Below are 17,497 nucleotides of genomic sequence, written 5' to 3' on the forward strand. Positions count from 1 at the left end.
AAAGTATTTCCCTGAGTTCTGTGAGCTATTATAGCAAAATATCTAAAACTGAGGAAGAGTTTTTGGGGAATTCCCAATATGTATTAAAGTCAGACAGAAGTGTGGGTAATCTGGGGATACACTATTTGCAACCATGTCTGATGTGGGGAGCAGTCTTGTAACCGTAAGTTCATTGCCCAATGCAGAGTGATTCAATATCCTGAGACACTAGGGGTTGCCACACAGAAAGAGTTTAATAATCAAAGAGCAGCTGAAGGAGGAGACAAGAAGAAACCTCAAATGTGCCTCCCTGAGACATCTGGTGATGGATTTTTTAAGCGGTCTGGATGGGTGATGGGCTAAAGTGTGGGGATCACTGATTGATTGAAAAGTAAAGGGTGAAGTCATGGGACAGAGAGATGAAGAAAACTGCATTCTTCTGCTGAATTGGTTCCTTGGTGGGGGTCTTCAGACCACTTGATGACAGCTGTTCCACTGGGATTCAGGATCTAAAAAACACTTTAAGCAATTCCTGGGTTAAAAGTTTCAGTGTTAGAGATTCTATCTATAGGAACAATAGGGGAGCAGGTGGTCAAAGTGCTATGTGACTCTTGGTTAGCTGGCAGCTGCAGGCAAGTGAGTTGAAGCATACCAGCATACCCTGGTCAGCTTACCCACTATAATTCTGCCTAAAGTCTGGCTTGTATTTCTCCTTAACCCTGTGAGGGCAGTTTCAGTCTTGTGAGACTTAGCCCTTAATCTACGGAGTCTGTGCTAACGTCAGATAGTGTCAGAATTGAAATGAAATTGTAGGACACCCACTTGGTTCCACAGGGAGTTGGAGAATTGGTTGTTGGCAGAAAAAAAATCACACACATTTCATTTTAGAAGTGTTATGAGTAAAGGAACAGTTTTCTTGCCAAAAACTTTTGGTATTTGTGATACTGGGTTGTGACTTCTTATTGCTCACTTTTCGTTTTTTGTTTTTAAATTCATTTCATCTGATAAATTTTTGGGGAAGTGGGAATCTCTGATGTGACCTCAGTCTGACATAATTACTTACACATGCTCATCAATTAAGTTTTAATTCCTCCATTGTGGCTCAGATTTGTCTTTGTCAGCTTCATCACATTTTTAGGGGTACTGGGTTTCACCAGGTAAAAACTATAAAAGCCAACTGTTTGTTGATATTTGTTGTTATAACACCAAACACAGAAATTTGGGACTCTAACATGATTTTATTTATTGCTATAATAACAAATATTATTAAGAATTTAAGTCTAAGTGTATCAAAAAGCTCCAAAAAGTGGTAAGTAGACATTGCCCTTTTTTTCCAAATAGGAAGAAGATAGGCAATTGCAATATTTTGCTCAAGATCAAATAGCTATAAGGGCCACATTTCAACTCCTGTCAGCACCTAGACTGTGTTCCTTGGACAAAAAATAAACTATAGCTTCACTTGCTTCCTGAATGTGCAGTTGAAGAATGCACTGAGTTGAAGAATGATGTGGTGAGGCATTGCAAAGGCCCTCTGCTGACCCAGGCTGGACATTTCCAATATTCAGTAATTGTGTCCCATCAATGACCAAACACTAGTGTACATCCAGCACATCCTTTTGGTCATAAAAGAAGAAATCCAACTGATTCCTGCCCAAATGCATTTTAAGAGCAGACTGAAAATATCCAGAAAATAAGCTCTAAATGCTCAGCTTTATTACATGGAGATGAAGACAAGGGGGTATGTCAGAGGCTCTCTGAAGTGGGAGGAAGATAGAGGAATCTCTTCCCTTATTCATTCTAAGCTAAGAAAACCCATAATAGAATTAAACCTCTAGACCCCCTTCTGCTATACAATCTCCTCAAAATCATGACCCCAAACCAACTACTTATGATATTAAATACCACAAGAAAAAAATTTAATAACATGGATTGTTTTATTAATGATAATTTAGATAATCTTGGACCAGTATCCCTTTCCAGAAGAGCAGGCACTTAAAAATAATATATTTTATGGAGTTTCCATCCTAGTCCCCAGGACCTGTGAATGTGTTAGCTACTGTGGCAAAAAGAGACCTTGCAGATGTTATTAAATTAAGGATCTTGAGATGAGATTATCCTGGAGTATCGTGATGGGCCCGATATAATCACAAGAAAAGTTCTAAGGAGGGAAATAGGAGAGCCAGTAAGAGAAAAGATGTGATGACAGAAGCAGAGGTCAGAGAACGAGTTTAAGAAGCCACACTGCTGGTTTTAAAATCACAGGAAGAAGCCATGAACCAAGGCATGCAGATGGCCCCAAGAAACTGAAAATAACAACGAAATGAATTCTTTCCTAGAGCCTCTAGAAGGAATACAGCCCTGCTGACCCATTTTATAATTCTGACCTCCTGAAATGTAAGATAATAAATTTGTGTTATTTTAAGCCATTATGTTGGTGGTAATTTGTTACACATGACAACGATAAGAAACTAATACAAATGCCTACATTCATAGTTAACTAATTGGCATGTTGATTTCAGAGTAATAAAACATGGCTACTGCAGGAACTCTGACGTAAATAGTATATTTCGTAAATATACTATAATACATTATAATAGTATATCTGGTAAAATACAATAAAATTCAGGGTGCTTAGAAGTCCCGGGAAGGAAATCCTCACCTATTGTTATTTATAAAAGAAGAAACAAAAACTTATTTTATTTAAGCCGTTATTTTTCAGGAGCTGGTAGAAGACAATTTTGAGGGACACAGGAATTATTAATAACCATTTCCTGCTGGACTGTATTGAATGGACACGCTTCATCTTAAACCACTGCTGTTTCCATTTCTGCATGAGAAAGTGCCCACTGAGCTTTTAAAGCTTTTGACTGAAGCATGACCTCAACAGAATGCTTCTGTTTAGGCTTGTGTTTTTACCCTCTCCAAGGAAAATACTTTTTTTCAAGTGCAGAGTTACAAACCATAAGCTAGAGAAAGCATGATTTTATCAGGCCATAGAGAAATAAAGTTCTTTTGTTTACTCAAAGAGACCTCTAATGGTCTTTTTGAAGAATCCTAGGAAATTTCATTGCATTAATTTTCCTCCTTCTCTTAAAAAAAGCAGCAAGATTCACAGTCACTGCTTAGGTGTTGATGATTCTGATGTCGGCTTCTTCCTCCAGTTAAGTCTTCATGGCCCTGTCCTTCCAACTGGCCCATATCATTGCTCTCATTCTGCCACTTCCATCATCTGATGCTTCCAGTGGCTTCTCTTCCCTTCTGCATCAGACTCCTCTGCCTGGCCTAGAAGATCCTTCATAAATGATTCCTTTTTGGCAACCTCATCTCCTATGACAGATAATTCCTTACTGAAGGAATTGTGGTTCACCCAGTAGGCAAATCAGATTGCATTTTCTCATAGAAAGAATATTTTACAGAGTTCTGAGATGCCAGAACCAGCCTTCAAGATGCCAACTAACCTACAATGTATTTGCAGTATTCATACTATTTTCACACATAATCCCCTGCCCCTGCCCTCGCCGTGAGTAAATGTCAGCAAGAGTGCTCACTTGGGTTACTAAATTAATTTTTTTACTCACTAGGATTACTTCTTGGGGATGGGGATAAAATTAAAAGCAACGCTATGATTCAATTCAGAATCTTCTAACTAAAACGGAAATTGCAAATACATCCCTCCTGCCTCATTAACACTATCTAGGTGGCCACCATGCTCCTCGTAACTGTAAACTGTAGAAAGGGTTCCACTGGAGTTTAGTTGGGGTTAGGCAAGGGCCTCATTTAGGCAAGGGTAACTTATTATCACACAAAAACACACAAATAAAAACACTATTCTATAACTTTATGGTTGCATAGAAGAAGCTGTCACTTAATTCTAATAATTTACTGCATGATTAAGAAATAAAGAACTGTTGATTTGAGCTCCCTCCCACACTGTGTCAGTGAGTCTGTGTCGTTATTCTTACATAAAGGAGTTAGTAACAACTGTTACTTCTCTATGGGAACTGTCTGCCTCCCTCAGGCCTCTCTCCCCAGATTCTATTCTTCTTTTCCCTTTGGTTAAAATTTGTTACTCTTCTAGGTCACAGAGCATGTGATTTTGGAGTTGCCAGACAGTCCCTTTTTGGTTTGTGTCTAAATTCTATGCCCCCTTCAAAGCCTGTCTCAGTCTTCCCCAAGACATTCCCTCTCTTATCTAGCTGTGGTAGACAATTACTCTTTTATAAACCCAACACACTCCTCTTTTGATGGGAAAAGCACTCTCCTCCTTTTTGGGAACTTGTTTTCCAACTTTCTACCTTCTGTCACTATTATCAGTGGGATCTAGTAGATTCCATCTCCATAACCACAGTGCATGATACCTGATTCAGCTGGAAACCTGGAGCCTTCCCACTCACTTAGCACACTGATCAGACTACAGAACAATTTTTCCTATGCTAGCTGGGTCAAGTGTCACTTACAAACAATAGTTCTGATATCCTTCCACCCCTCTTCACAAAATTCCTGGATTTTTACTTACCTACACCATCAGTTAGCATGTATCTCTGCCCCATCTTATTGTAGAGGAATGAATCCTTTTGCACAGGCTTTGTTCTCTAATTGAATAGTGTCACTTGAGAGAAGGTAGCCCAGTTTGAATTTAGCAAAATGCTTATCATCATGAGAAAAACCTCAGGAAATACTTGGTTACTAATTAATGGAAGAACTTCCTGCACAGATGAATTATGAGTTTATCATACATTATCAGATATTGTCAGCTCATTTGAGTACATGTAAAAATAACACAAGAGTCAGTCAATTAAAGTCTTGTCTTTCTCTTTGTGGCATTTTTAAAATTACCATTCTGACCTCCAGTTTATTTTTTATTTAATGTTCTATATAGGGAATAATAATGTATTATTCATGATACTTTGGGTTGCAAGACATAGAAATCCAATTTAGTTTAGATTAAGCAGAAAATTACTTTTTAGTTTTATTTAATTTAAAGAATAGAGCAGAATAGACTTTCAGGTAATGTTGGATATGGGTAAGCAAATGACTTCAATCTCCCCATCCTGGCTTTAATTTTCCCCTGTGATGCCTTATTTTAAGGCGGGGTACTCCTAACTGTCAACAAACATAGCCACCAAAAGCTTCAGGCTTTCATTTAATTTATTACACAACCCAACTGGAAATCAATTTCCTTCTCTTCCAATAGTTCTGATATAAGTTTCATTAGATCAAGTTAGAGTTTGTGGATCAAGCTGATATAAGCACTGTGGTTGGTTAGGGGTAAGTGGATTTCTTTAATTGGCCAAGCCTGATTTGCATCCCATCCTTTCACCAGTGAATGGGTCCCTCTGTTAGAACCACATACACTGTGAATAAGATACAGTGGTAGACTGATTGACTCTCCAGAATGCCCATATCCTGACCCCTGAAATCCAAAAATGTTATGATATGAAGCAAAAGTGACTTTACAGTTGTGATTAAAGTAAGAATTTTGAGAGATGGAGATTTTACTATTATGTTACTTGAGTGGATCCAATATATTCACAAGGGTCCTCATAAGAGGAAGGAAGGAAAACAAATAGAAAAAGGCAATATAATTGTAGCTACAGAGATCAGTGTGATGAGCTTTGTAGAAGAAGAAAATAAATTTTCTTTACTTTCTTATGTTCTGTATTTGAATTAAACTAACAAAAGACAGATTAACAGGAAAAGAGATATGGGGGCTTTAAAGTATACTTTTAATTTTAAAGTACTTTAAATTTGCAATTAAAAGTATTTTATAATTTTAAAATTAAAATTTAATTTTAATTAATTTAAAATTAAACTTTAAAATACTTTTAATTTTAAAATTAAAAAGTACTTGAATAAAAAATACTTTTAATTTTACATGCACAGGGGCTTCACAGAAAAGAAGTTAAAAATCCAAAGAGGCAATTAGCCTCAGGGGCTTGTATACCATTTTAACAAAGGGTGATGATTATGGAGAAATGACTAGTCAAAAGAATAGGGTTTTGGGCTTCTAGGTCTTGCCAGTTCCAATTTACTGTGTGAATAACTGAAGGGCAGCAAGATGAAGATTCTTAGATAGTGGCACCCAAGCAATTGGAGCTAGGGCAGGACAAGAATGACGGAGCGCCTGTTCCTTTCCTCCTCTGAAATGCCACTGTTCCTAACACTGTGATACATTTACCTCCAGAACCTTTGTGAAACATTTTACTTTTCATCCAGATTTCTGGGATTCCAAAATGTCAAAAATTTCCCCCTCTTAGTTGCCTCTGGGAGCCAGAATCCAGCCAGTTCTCAGAGATTTCTACCTGGTTGAAGAACTCGCATAAGTCACCGTATGCAATGGCTAACAAAAAAATTCTTCTGTTGATTTGAATTTGAAAAACTCTTACAAATATCTGTGATAAATAAAATGCTTCGTTCAAAATTTTCAACATTAAGAAATCATGGCTAGTGCAATACCAAAAGCTATGAGGTTTTCCCAGGCCACTCCTTATCGCACCCATCTTACTCTTACTTGTTATAATGGGCATACAAATGCACAATGACATTAATAGCACCATTGAAAATATTCCCTGCCATTAAGCACGCATCTGCCTTCTTAACCTTGCCCTTAACAATAGATATCAATATCACTGTCAGTAACAGTGCTTTCTCACACAAAGAACCACCACCACAAGCATTTATCTCTGTCATTTATTTGTTATGCATTTCAATTCTTCCATTAATGTCTTTTGTCAGGCTAATTATAAAGATCCTTTTCCATATTTGCCCCAGATCTAGGATTGATCTCTGAATCTGCAGATAATTCTGTCTTACTAATTGTAACCTTCCCTGTTGGAGACATTGGCCAGATGATGCCTAAGTCTGGCAGGGAGTGACTATTGCTGGCATGAGGAGACTGGAACTTTGTCCAAGTTTGCCCTGGCTCAGTACTTCGGTGACAGTCACATGTCCACAAACTTACATGGACTCAAAGTAGGATACTAACTTTTCTCTAATGCAGTGTCTCTTGTCCCTGGTGGAATATTGTAATCACTTTGGAGTCTAAAACCAAACAAGCCAACAACCCACAATAACAATAATAACAACAAAATCTACCTAGGTGACACCCACATCATTTATGTCAGAGTCTTGGAGGCTGAGTTCGAGACTGAAAACTACTGTTCTAGAGTTTTAATTGGTCACAATGCACAGGACTCACTGCATTTTTTAATACCACATTATCTATTAAGACTAACATGTAGATAAAATCTACAAAATTCCAGCATGACATACTGAAGCAGTGGACTTCCACCAGGGATGACTATGTCCCAGACATTTGGGAATGTCTGAAGACATTTTTGTTGATCAGAACAGGGAAAGGGGATGTTACTGGCATATAATGGATAGAAGGCAGAGATGCTAAGCTCCCTACGCTACACAAGTCAGCTTCTAGCAAGAAAGAATTATCCAGCCCAAATTGTCAATTGTCTTGAGGTTGAGAAACCTTGCCTAAAGGAAGGTGACTTTTTCTGTTTGTCAGTAACCTATCTGTAAGATCTACTGAACTGAATTGCAAGGCTCCCAAAAGGTAAAAGGAGGTTCAGTACAGTTTTCTGTAAAAACATTAGTAAGGAACTAGCTGATTGTTAAAAATCATCTTTATATTCTCCTTTACTCTACAAAAAGATGTTCTTAGTGAAGATATGGAGAATCCAGATTTTATTAAATCTGTTCTTCAGTTGGCTGGTGAGAAACTGGTCACTTCTCCAAACACCAGTCAAAAACATCTGAGGGTGTTCACACTTGCAGCAGATTCCAGATCTGCTCCAAATTTACATTTCCCAGCAGTTTCAATGCCATCCTTCTTGACAGCCTTCCCCCAAATAAATATTTCCTATAAAAAATGAAAAGGGAAATAAACCAAATGAACAAGATACTCAGTCATTCACATATATAAGTCACATAATTTTACACTTGATCTTAGCTAAAAGGCCAAGAAGTGGTCACATGACCTTAGAGTAAAAAAATCCCTAATTATCAAACTGTTGTTCAGAGGGGTTGATATTTTCCAAAGTTTTACAGATAATGGGAGTGTTAGGACTGATATTCTCATCTCTTGATTGTTTATCCATTGCCGTTTCCACTGGTCGGTGTACTTTTCAAATGTGAATATTATGGCTAAAGAGCCAGTTTAGTCGTGTCAAATTTAGCCATTTGAAAGCTAACGACTTTTTGAAAATTTTGCCCAAATAGGGTTAAGAATATCATCTGTTTTATCAAACTGCAGTTATAGCTCAATTGTGGAACAGTACACGCACTGGACTCTAATAGCCTGATGGAGCAGGCAATATTTTCCAAAGATGACTGCTGCAAATATTCTCTCCTATATGTTCTTTTTACAATGTGACTGTGAAGCTACTTAAGAGCATGGTGAGGTCTATTTCACCTGCCCTTCAACCTGGGCAAGTGTCAATTTCCTTGTCCAGTACAGTACTGTGTAAGTGATGTGCGTGATTTCCAATGTTACTTCAAAAAACTGCCATGCATTTGCACCTTTTTACTACTCTTGGGTGTTCACTCTTGGAACCCAGCCACCATGCTAGGAGAAAGCCAAGCTACCTATAGGTGTCCAAGCCAAAAGCCCCAGCTGCTCTCACAATAGACAGCCAACAGCAGCTGTCAGATATGTGAATGAGTCAACCTTCAGATGATTCCAGCCCCCAGGCATCAAGTCACCTCCTGCATTCAGGCTGTTCCAGCTAATGACATGTAGAACACAGATACACAGTCTCTTCTGAGTCCTTCCAGAATTGCAGACTTATGAGCAAAATAAATGATTGTTGGTGTTTTAAACTACTAAGCTTCAGGTGCTTTGTTGCCTTATAGTAGATCACTGAAACACCTGGCATTATTAGGCTTTTGAATCCTACAACTAACCTAACTTCTTGTGACCATATTTGGCTCACAATATATTTTTAATGATTATTTATGCAATAATTAGTTGAATCTATACTGTGCTCACAAAGAAGTTCTAGATTTGGTTTGTCAAATGTTACAAACCCTGTAATGATTGTCCATTAATCAATTAGCATTCTGCATCATGCATCAGCTTTCATGAGTATGTTAAAAGTGGAGTCTGCTCTTCAGAGATAGATCTACCATCTATTGCCGAACATACTGAACTTCTAAGCCTAAGAGACCCAGAACCTGAAGGGTGGTAAATTCATCACTATAGGCCAGGCACGTTGGCTCATGCCTGTAATCCCAGCACTATGGGAGGCCGAAGCAGGCAGATCACTTGAGGTCAGGAGTTCAAGACCAGCCTGGCCAACATGGTAAACCCTGTCTCCACTAAAAATAAAAAATATATAAAAAATAGCCAGGCATGGTGGTGTGTGTCTGTAATCCCAGCCTCTTGGGAGGCTGAGGAAGGAGAATCGCTTGAACCCATGAGGCGGAGGTTGCAGTGAGCCAAGATTGTGCCACTGTACTCCAGGCTGAGTGGCAGAGCAAGACCCCATCTCAAAAAAAAGAAAAAATTCATCACCATAGAGGAACCTATCCTTTCAGTACTTGGTGGACAAATAGTCTTTTCTCTGATACATGAACTTTATGGAAAAACTTAAATCTCAACTCCAATGATATCCTTTTCTTCACATCTGAGAATTTTATATTTGATGGATCACTCAGTACAGATGAAGTAAAAAACTAAGTAATTTTGACATGCTCTTGGAGACCATCCTTGGATATAGAGTTACAAACACTATTTTCCAAATCCTAGTTACATCTGTAAATCATCCAAATCTCTTCATAATCAGGCATATGTTTTTGTGAGAAGAAGTACTTTTTTTTATGTTGGCTGTCCTCCGTGAAAGCAGAATATGTGTCATATCACCTCACCAAGGAACTCAAGGCCAAGTGTTTTTGATTTATGGAGTCTTAGATGTGGTCTACAATGAGTTAATTACTCTTGGGAGCAGAACGCATCTCATAGATCAAAACAATATTTGAGATTTATTTGTGCTAGTGAAATAACTCACAATAATATGAAATAATTTCGTCTAAGGCTATGGTCTCTTACAATTGAAAAATAATCCCTTTTCTTAGGAGCCAGGGATATAAATTGGGGATGGTTTTCTTGAGAAATAAAGTTTTTTAAAGTAAGAACTATTTTGAAGTATAAAACCAGGATGAAGATAGAAAGGGAAGGGAAGAGAATGTGGGAAGACAGGTCTAACCCGGGCCAAACATTTAATTTAAATTAAGACAGCTTGATAATGGTGCAAGGATTAAAAAATAGACCAAGGAAGCAGAGAGCCCACAATCAACTAATGCATTTAAGTAAACTTAATATATGACAGAACTACTACTATGAATCATTGGGGAAAGGATAAAATGTTAATTAAATATATTGGAACAATAGGTTATCCAAAACAAAGAAAGAAAGAAATTGGGTTCCTATATTGTATGATTATTACTCAAAAATCAATTCCAAATGGTTTAACTACTTAAAAGTAAAAGGCAAACTTTAAACTTATAGACAAAAATATAGGTCAAAAAGTTTATGACCTCAGGGCATAGAAATGTTTCTTGAAATAATGCAAAAAGCATAAAGTTTAAAGGAAAAGACTGATAAATTCAGCTACCCTAAAATTAAGACATTTTAGGCAAAACACAAGTCACAAGATGGAAGAACATATTTGGAACAAAAATGATTGACAAAGCTTGATTATTAAAACTATACAAAGAAACTCTAAAATCAATAAGAAAAAAACAACAATATAAAATGGGAAAAACATAGAAAGCAAACATTTCAAAGGAAAGGTAACACAACCAATAAAAATAAGAAAGCACTCAACTTTATCTGTAATTAGAAAATGCAAAATTAAGATGAAAACTAGGATCCAAATTAAACCAGTAGCTCATCAAAGAGTAAAGTCTGATTTTAACAAGTATTGACAAGACAGTGAGTCAATGGGCAAGATTGTAATATCGATGTTGGGAATATAAATAAGGAAACTATTTTGGAAAACAATTTAGCATACTCTAATAAATTTGAACATATGCAAAGGCTATAAAACCAGCAATCTCCCCTGTAGAGAAATCCTTGCCACACTTTACAAGGAGATGTACAAACATGCATAAATGCATTGCTTATAATAAAAACCATGGAACCAACCTAAATCTCTATAGACTTTAGTATGAGTAAATATATTGTAGTTTATTCCACAATGGAATATTATAAAGCAGTGGAAATGAAGGCATTGTAGCTACACATATCCATATGAATATGTAGCAATGTATATCAGTACCTAATGCCACACAAAAAAGTCATGGGAAAACAGTCACTGTGATTTAATCCTTTTAAAAATGTATTATAAAACATGTAAGTACAAAAACATGTCAAATAAAATGAGATCTTGTTTACAGGAACTTATATAAATAGAAAACTATGAAGAAAAACAAAAATGATTAATGATAATACAGATATTAACTACCTCCAGAAGGAGGTAGGAGGAAACAGTCAGGTACTGATACCCAGAGAGCTTTAAGACTATGTTTTGTTAAGCTAGGTGATTGGTTCACAATGTTCATTTTTATCAACATTTTAAAATTTATACAAATGTGCTATATACACTCTTATCTAAATGATATATTTCAAAATTTTAAAAAAGAAAATAGATATCATGCTATCTGATGACAGGTTTCACATCTAAACTTTCTGATATCATTGTAAGCTAGGAAACTGAACCAGGTTGATTAACTTTCATTTCCGAGTAGCATTCATAATTAACTGTTCTATGTTAACACAAGATGAGCTTGGTTCCTGTTACCCAAGCTATAAATAGATAAGCAAAGGTTATTGTGAGGGGAAAACAATGCCCAAGACTGGGAATATTTATTTTAAAAGATGTTCTCTTGGCTTTTGCCTTTTCAGCCTAACCCTGTCCTAAATATCCCCCAGAGGATAAGGTCCCCAACAAAGCTTTTCCCACATATATCTACATGCTTGTCAATCTCGACCTTTTACTCTAGAGCGCATGATGAACCAACCTTCTGGTTTATCATGGCTGACCTTCAGCTTATCCCTGTTGTTGTTATTACTACACTTAATTTATTTTCCTTCATTAGACGTAAGCAAAATGGGAAGATGGCTTCACAAATTTTTTTTTCAATTGATAAAGATTTTCTGAAGCTAAATCCATAATCTTACTTTAAATTCATTTAGAGGTCAAAAATTACATCAAATCTTTGCTTTTAGGAATCCCATTTGATGAGACTAGAGACATTCATAGTGTTCCACAGGGCAGCTGTTGACCACAATTGAAGCACTGGAGATCTAAAGACACCCACAGTGGATGAAATCCCACTTTAAGTGTATATTCTGCTTGAGGAATTCTAAAAGTATAAACAGCTTTTTCAGTTGCCTTTTTTTCACTCTTCTTAGGCTGTAGTTATTAAATCTGACACCACAAATTTAATATATAAAAAATAAATATAAATTTATTTTTCTGTGACATTAATATTCTACAGTTGAAATTGATTTCTAGTTGAGCTCACATTTCACCTACCGGCAGAAGCTTAAGTTTAGCCAATTTACTGTATCTACAGTTAAAATATTTTGTTCCACTCCCCTATACCTTTTTAACTTAGATTTGCCTCTATTTTCCATAGGGTATAGGTGTGCACAGAACTGACATTTGTGAGACGTGCAAATCTGGTCTATGGTTTAACTATGCTGATGCTACTGAGATGGGTGTTTTCCACCTGGTCTCCAGCTATAAGCCAATGCAGCTCACTCTATATCTTCTTTATACTATCCATTAGATGCCTTCAGGACCTGAGCCATGGAAAAATGTTACTTTTTTCTCTTTTCTCTTCTGAGGCTGTCTCACTATGTCTCAGTAGATCTGTCTCAAACCTATCTGAGATACATCAAGAACATATTTCTTATCTTCCACTTTCATGCTCTATAGGGATATAAGTGGACTGCTGGGATAGTGCTGTTTTCTAGTCTCTCCTCTGAGATTAATTAAGTCCCTCTATTATACGCAAGTATTATTCTTTCCTGGGAAAAATCTGAGAAGTGAATTTTTAGGGCTCATGGATTCTTGAGACTTGGAATCATTCTTCTCTGCTGATAAAGTCTGTACACTTGTCATGCAAAGCTCATTCTTCCCTTATTATAAATTCTAAGAAAAACTCATTGGTTAAAATGCCAAAGCTCATGCATACAGACTTATGTTATACAGCCCTTCCTAGTTTGTCAGCTATACTAAGATACATCCAATTCCAGTGTTGAATTCCTCAAAATATTGCCAGGCAACCTGGTGATATTAATAAAGCAAAATTAAGTTTATTGGAATTTATTACAGTTGGAGAGAACATCACCTTGATAGAGTATCAGAAGCAGCTCAGAAGGGGAAGTCAGAAGTAGAGTATTTATAGCACTTTGGGGTTTTGGGCTTAAGCAATCTAAGGTTGGTCTTTCGAAGTGGGTAACTGACTAAACTGGGCAAAATTCATGCTATAATGGCCATATTGGTTGTCAGTGAAGCATGTGTTTTGAAGTGTGTCTGCACAGATGCCTCTGTTTGCTAAGCAAGCATTTGCCAAGGTGAGAAGGCTATCGTCTTTGATAAATTGAGTTTTAGAAATTTCTTCAAGCAAACAGTGGAGTTATTTATATTATCTTCTGGGCAAAGTTTTCCTGGAAGAAATCAGTAAGTCATGTTGACATAGGTGATCAAAAGTCTTATGTGAGTCATATTGACATAGAAGTTCTCCAATTTAACTTGTTTAGACTCAAACTTGTATTCACACCAAATTAAAAAGTTATTCTTTGCAAGCTATACACTCAAAATACCTCAGGAATTTCAGAAAATATCTTTTATGAAACAGGGCATCGGAAAATGATTTTCAGAGATGATATCTTAAAGTGAGTCTTGAAAAATGAGAAGGGTATAGAAAAATAGAAAAGAGTAAGAAGAAGAAATAGAAAAGAATAAGAAGGCAATTAGGAGAAAGAGTACGAAATGCCCAGTGAGGGCATTTGTGAAGAACAATGAAGATAATATTTTGACTGAGAAAACCATCTAACTTTGAGAGAATAAATTTTTTTTAAAAAAATTATTTTTCTGAGTACATCAAAACCAGATTATGATGGGCCCTACATGCATAATTAAGGGATCACTATATCTCCATTTACATTTATAATTAGGGCTTCCCAAAGATCTTTACATTTTTTGAATCTCATGACGTGTTTGTTTTCAAACATACCCCAGATCACATTGTTTTGGGGGTGGTGGGGGGCAGGGGAGATGACTTTAGCGGTAGTAATAAATCACCTAACAGTATTCTGCACATAGCAAGCATTCAATAAGTAGTAGTTGATATTATTATATTTCATTAACCATTAAGAAAAGATTTTAGTGGTAACTGAGAAAAGTAGTAAATAAGTCACCTAACACAGTATTCTACACATAACAGGCATTCAATAAGTAGTAGTTGACATTATTATTATATTTCATTAAGCATTAAGAAAAGATTTTAGTGGCATTGTAATCAGGCAAGCAGAAAGGGTTGAACCCTATGGACATGAAAAAATAGTGAAACAAGAATTACAATTTGATTAATAGCTGCACACATGCACTCAAGGCTATAGGTTTAAATGTACATTTAGATCATGAAGCTTGGGACCACTCTTTGAAAAGAAAAATAATAGATGAGAAGTAAGAAAAATTAAGTTTATTTACCCACTTATGTACATGTTACCAGAGAAGAGAATTTGAGTTGGCAAGATTCCTAAGGGAAATACCTACTGATATTTTTACCTTTTCCTCCCTGAAGGGAAAGAAACCAGGCAAAAGGAGCCTGGAGCCTCTGTTCCTGTGTTTTGTTGTTGTTGTTTGTTTAGAACACAGTGACTGCCTGCTGGCAACTGTAATCTAATTTATGTCCTGAAATTCTCACCAGCCAGACTAACTACTCCCATGCTTTGGGACAGAGCAGCTAAGAAAGAGGTAGACAGAGGTATGAAAAGAAGACAGGGTACTGCTAAGTTTCCTGACCCCTACATTCTTCTGTTTTGGTCCTCTGTACAAATTCACTTGGGGTGAGGATGTGAATTTAGGATAGTTGATGATAATTTTCAAGAGACCTAGAAATTTCTCATTCTGCCCTGTGTATCACTCTCCTCTCCATGGGATTCCCAAAGGTGCTATATCCACAATGAATAAGACAAGAACGGGGACAAGGCTTGCTTTATTAATAGCTGTGCAAGAATCTAATACTCACAGTGGAAAACTCCACATTAAAAGCTGAGCTGGCAGATTAGGATGAAGGTCCCCTATCATTTTCTAAATCTACATTTTGAGATTCTGCACTATTTGGATGGTCATATAGAGAAAGGAAATATGGGGAGAACAATATGGCCATGTCTACACTATATATCTGAATTAAAATTCCCTGGATAGCCATAAGCACCAGACGGGCAGAAAGGAAGAGTCTGCATTTGGTTTTCAGGACCTATTAAAATATATTTTCCTTTCTCACTAGAAATCATGACCCATTAATATTCCAAGCTCTGAACATTTATGCTGGTAATACTTCTTCCATTGCCAGGGAGCAGAAAAGAAGTGAACAGTGGAGCCAGAGAAGGGGTTGAAATCTTTCTCCCTACTAGAGTTTCAGACATTTGCTTTAGAAAGGCAGAAGGAGATCTGTGAGGAAGAGAGTATTGAGAAGCATGCTTCTGATATTACCACACATACATCATTTTTCCCTGTAGTCTCTTTAGCTGGTCAACTCTAGGCTACTGATTTCATTATACCAGCTGGCCAACCAGTTAAAGCCTGGGTGGAGGGACGTTACTAGTGACAGAATTTAATCTCCATAGGAGCAGACTATATTTGTAGTTTTTAATGTATGACATAGTGCTTGATAAGTATTTGTTGAGCTGAATGCATGACTGCTAGTTTGCATGTATTGCCCATTCTTTGAGAACTGCTGAATCAGGGATCACATATACCTGCCCTCATTTGCAGGTACATATGATCTGGGTTATTTTCTTGCCTGGTGGAAAGTGTGGCAGACTTTCTAGCAATTCTCTGTCTCTCACGCCCTTTCACTCAGATGCCATGAAAGCTAAAATCTCACCTTCCCAGGCTACCTTGCCATATGGGGTAGCCATGAGGCTCACTTATGGCCAATGAGGAGTAAGCAGAGGTCGGCTCTCATGTCTCTGAAAAGTTTTTGCTCTATTAATAAAAAAGAAAGACAAAAATGATGCTACCTTGCTCTCTTCTTTCTGCCTCAAAATGGAAATTTGTCTAATATTTGTGCAGCCATCTAATGCCCAAATCTGAAAGTGAGATTGAGAGTCATAAAAGTCAGCACTGACACCTTCCAGCTGAACAATACCGGCAGTTCCCTATATCTAACATTGTTGCCACATGAGAAAAATAAACCCTTACTAATTTAAGCTAATAGAAGTTTTTCGTGTAGCCATTAACATTCTTGACTGTTGCAGAACTTATCTGGGAAGAAAACAGAAAGAAATCGTAAAACTCAATCACCCAAATGGATCACATCTGAGTTGAAATATGATCATCATTTTCCTTTTTGCGATATAAACATATTCAATCTGCATCTGTGTGATACTTTCCCCAGGTGCACAAGAGGGAAGATGCAAATTGTGGCTTCTCTGGTTTTTTACTTTTGAATTCAGGAACAAACATAGAAAAATCATTCTCCATAGAGAAGAAAAAAACTGGGATTTAAATTTCAAGTGTCTGACTTTATTCTGTACCCAGGGCCCTGATCCTTGAAGCTGCACTTCCCACTCAGGTTTCACAGGCCTAGATGTCTGAATTTTGAAAAGGTGCTTTGTATTGCAACAATGTGACTGCACACTGCATTTCTTTTATGTATTTATTTTTTCATTAAGAACATTATGTATTTCTTCATTAAGAACACAACAGATATACCAAAAAAGAAATACGTTGGCTGGGCGTGGTGGCTCACGCCTGTAATCCCAGCACTTTGGGAGGCCAAGGTGGGTGGATCACGAGGTCAGGAGATCGAGACCAGCTTGGCCAACATGGTAAAACCCCGTGTCTACTAAAAATACAAAAATTAGCCAAGCATGGTGGCACATGTCTGTAGTCCCAGCTACTCAGGAAGCTGAGGAAGGAGAATCGCTTGAACCCGGGTGGCGGAGGTTGCAGTGAGCTGAAATCACACCACTGTACTCTAGCCTGGACGACAGAGGGAGACTCTGTCTCAAAAACAAACAAACAAACCAAAAAAGAAAAAAAAAATAAATAAGTTAATGAAATAATACATCTTAAGGAGCTATGGTTTATACTAAGACAGCTGGATTTAGCATTTTTAAAATACCATATTATTCTAGATTATTGTGCTTCCAGGCAATGGCTATACATTTCAGTCAGCTCACTAGCAAAAAACCTAGGGAGTTAGACAAATTCGAAATTGGATTCTGGTTCCACCATTTATAGTGATATGAGTCACTTGCAGC

At 37.0% G+C, this 17,497-nt stretch overlaps 1 long non-coding RNA gene across 1 annotated transcript; it reads right to left on the minus strand.

Moving 5' to 3' along the window:
* Nucleotides 1-214: 214 nt before the first annotated feature.
* On the minus strand, nt 215-4,584 carry LOC124906224 (uncharacterized). Its single transcript, XR_007095853.1, has 2 exons — nt 4,496-4,584; nt 215-498 (listed from the first exon to the last, which is right to left on the minus strand). It is a non-coding gene; the product is annotated as an uncharacterized LOC124906224 (long non-coding RNA).
* Between the last annotated feature and the right edge of the window lie 12,913 nt (nt 4,585-17,497).

Source organism: Homo sapiens, chromosome 3 (genome assembly GCF_000001405.40).
Source record: "Homo sapiens chromosome 3, GRCh38.p14 Primary Assembly".
In the NCBI taxonomy this organism is placed as follows: Eukaryota; Metazoa; Chordata; class Mammalia; order Primates; family Hominidae; genus Homo; species Homo sapiens.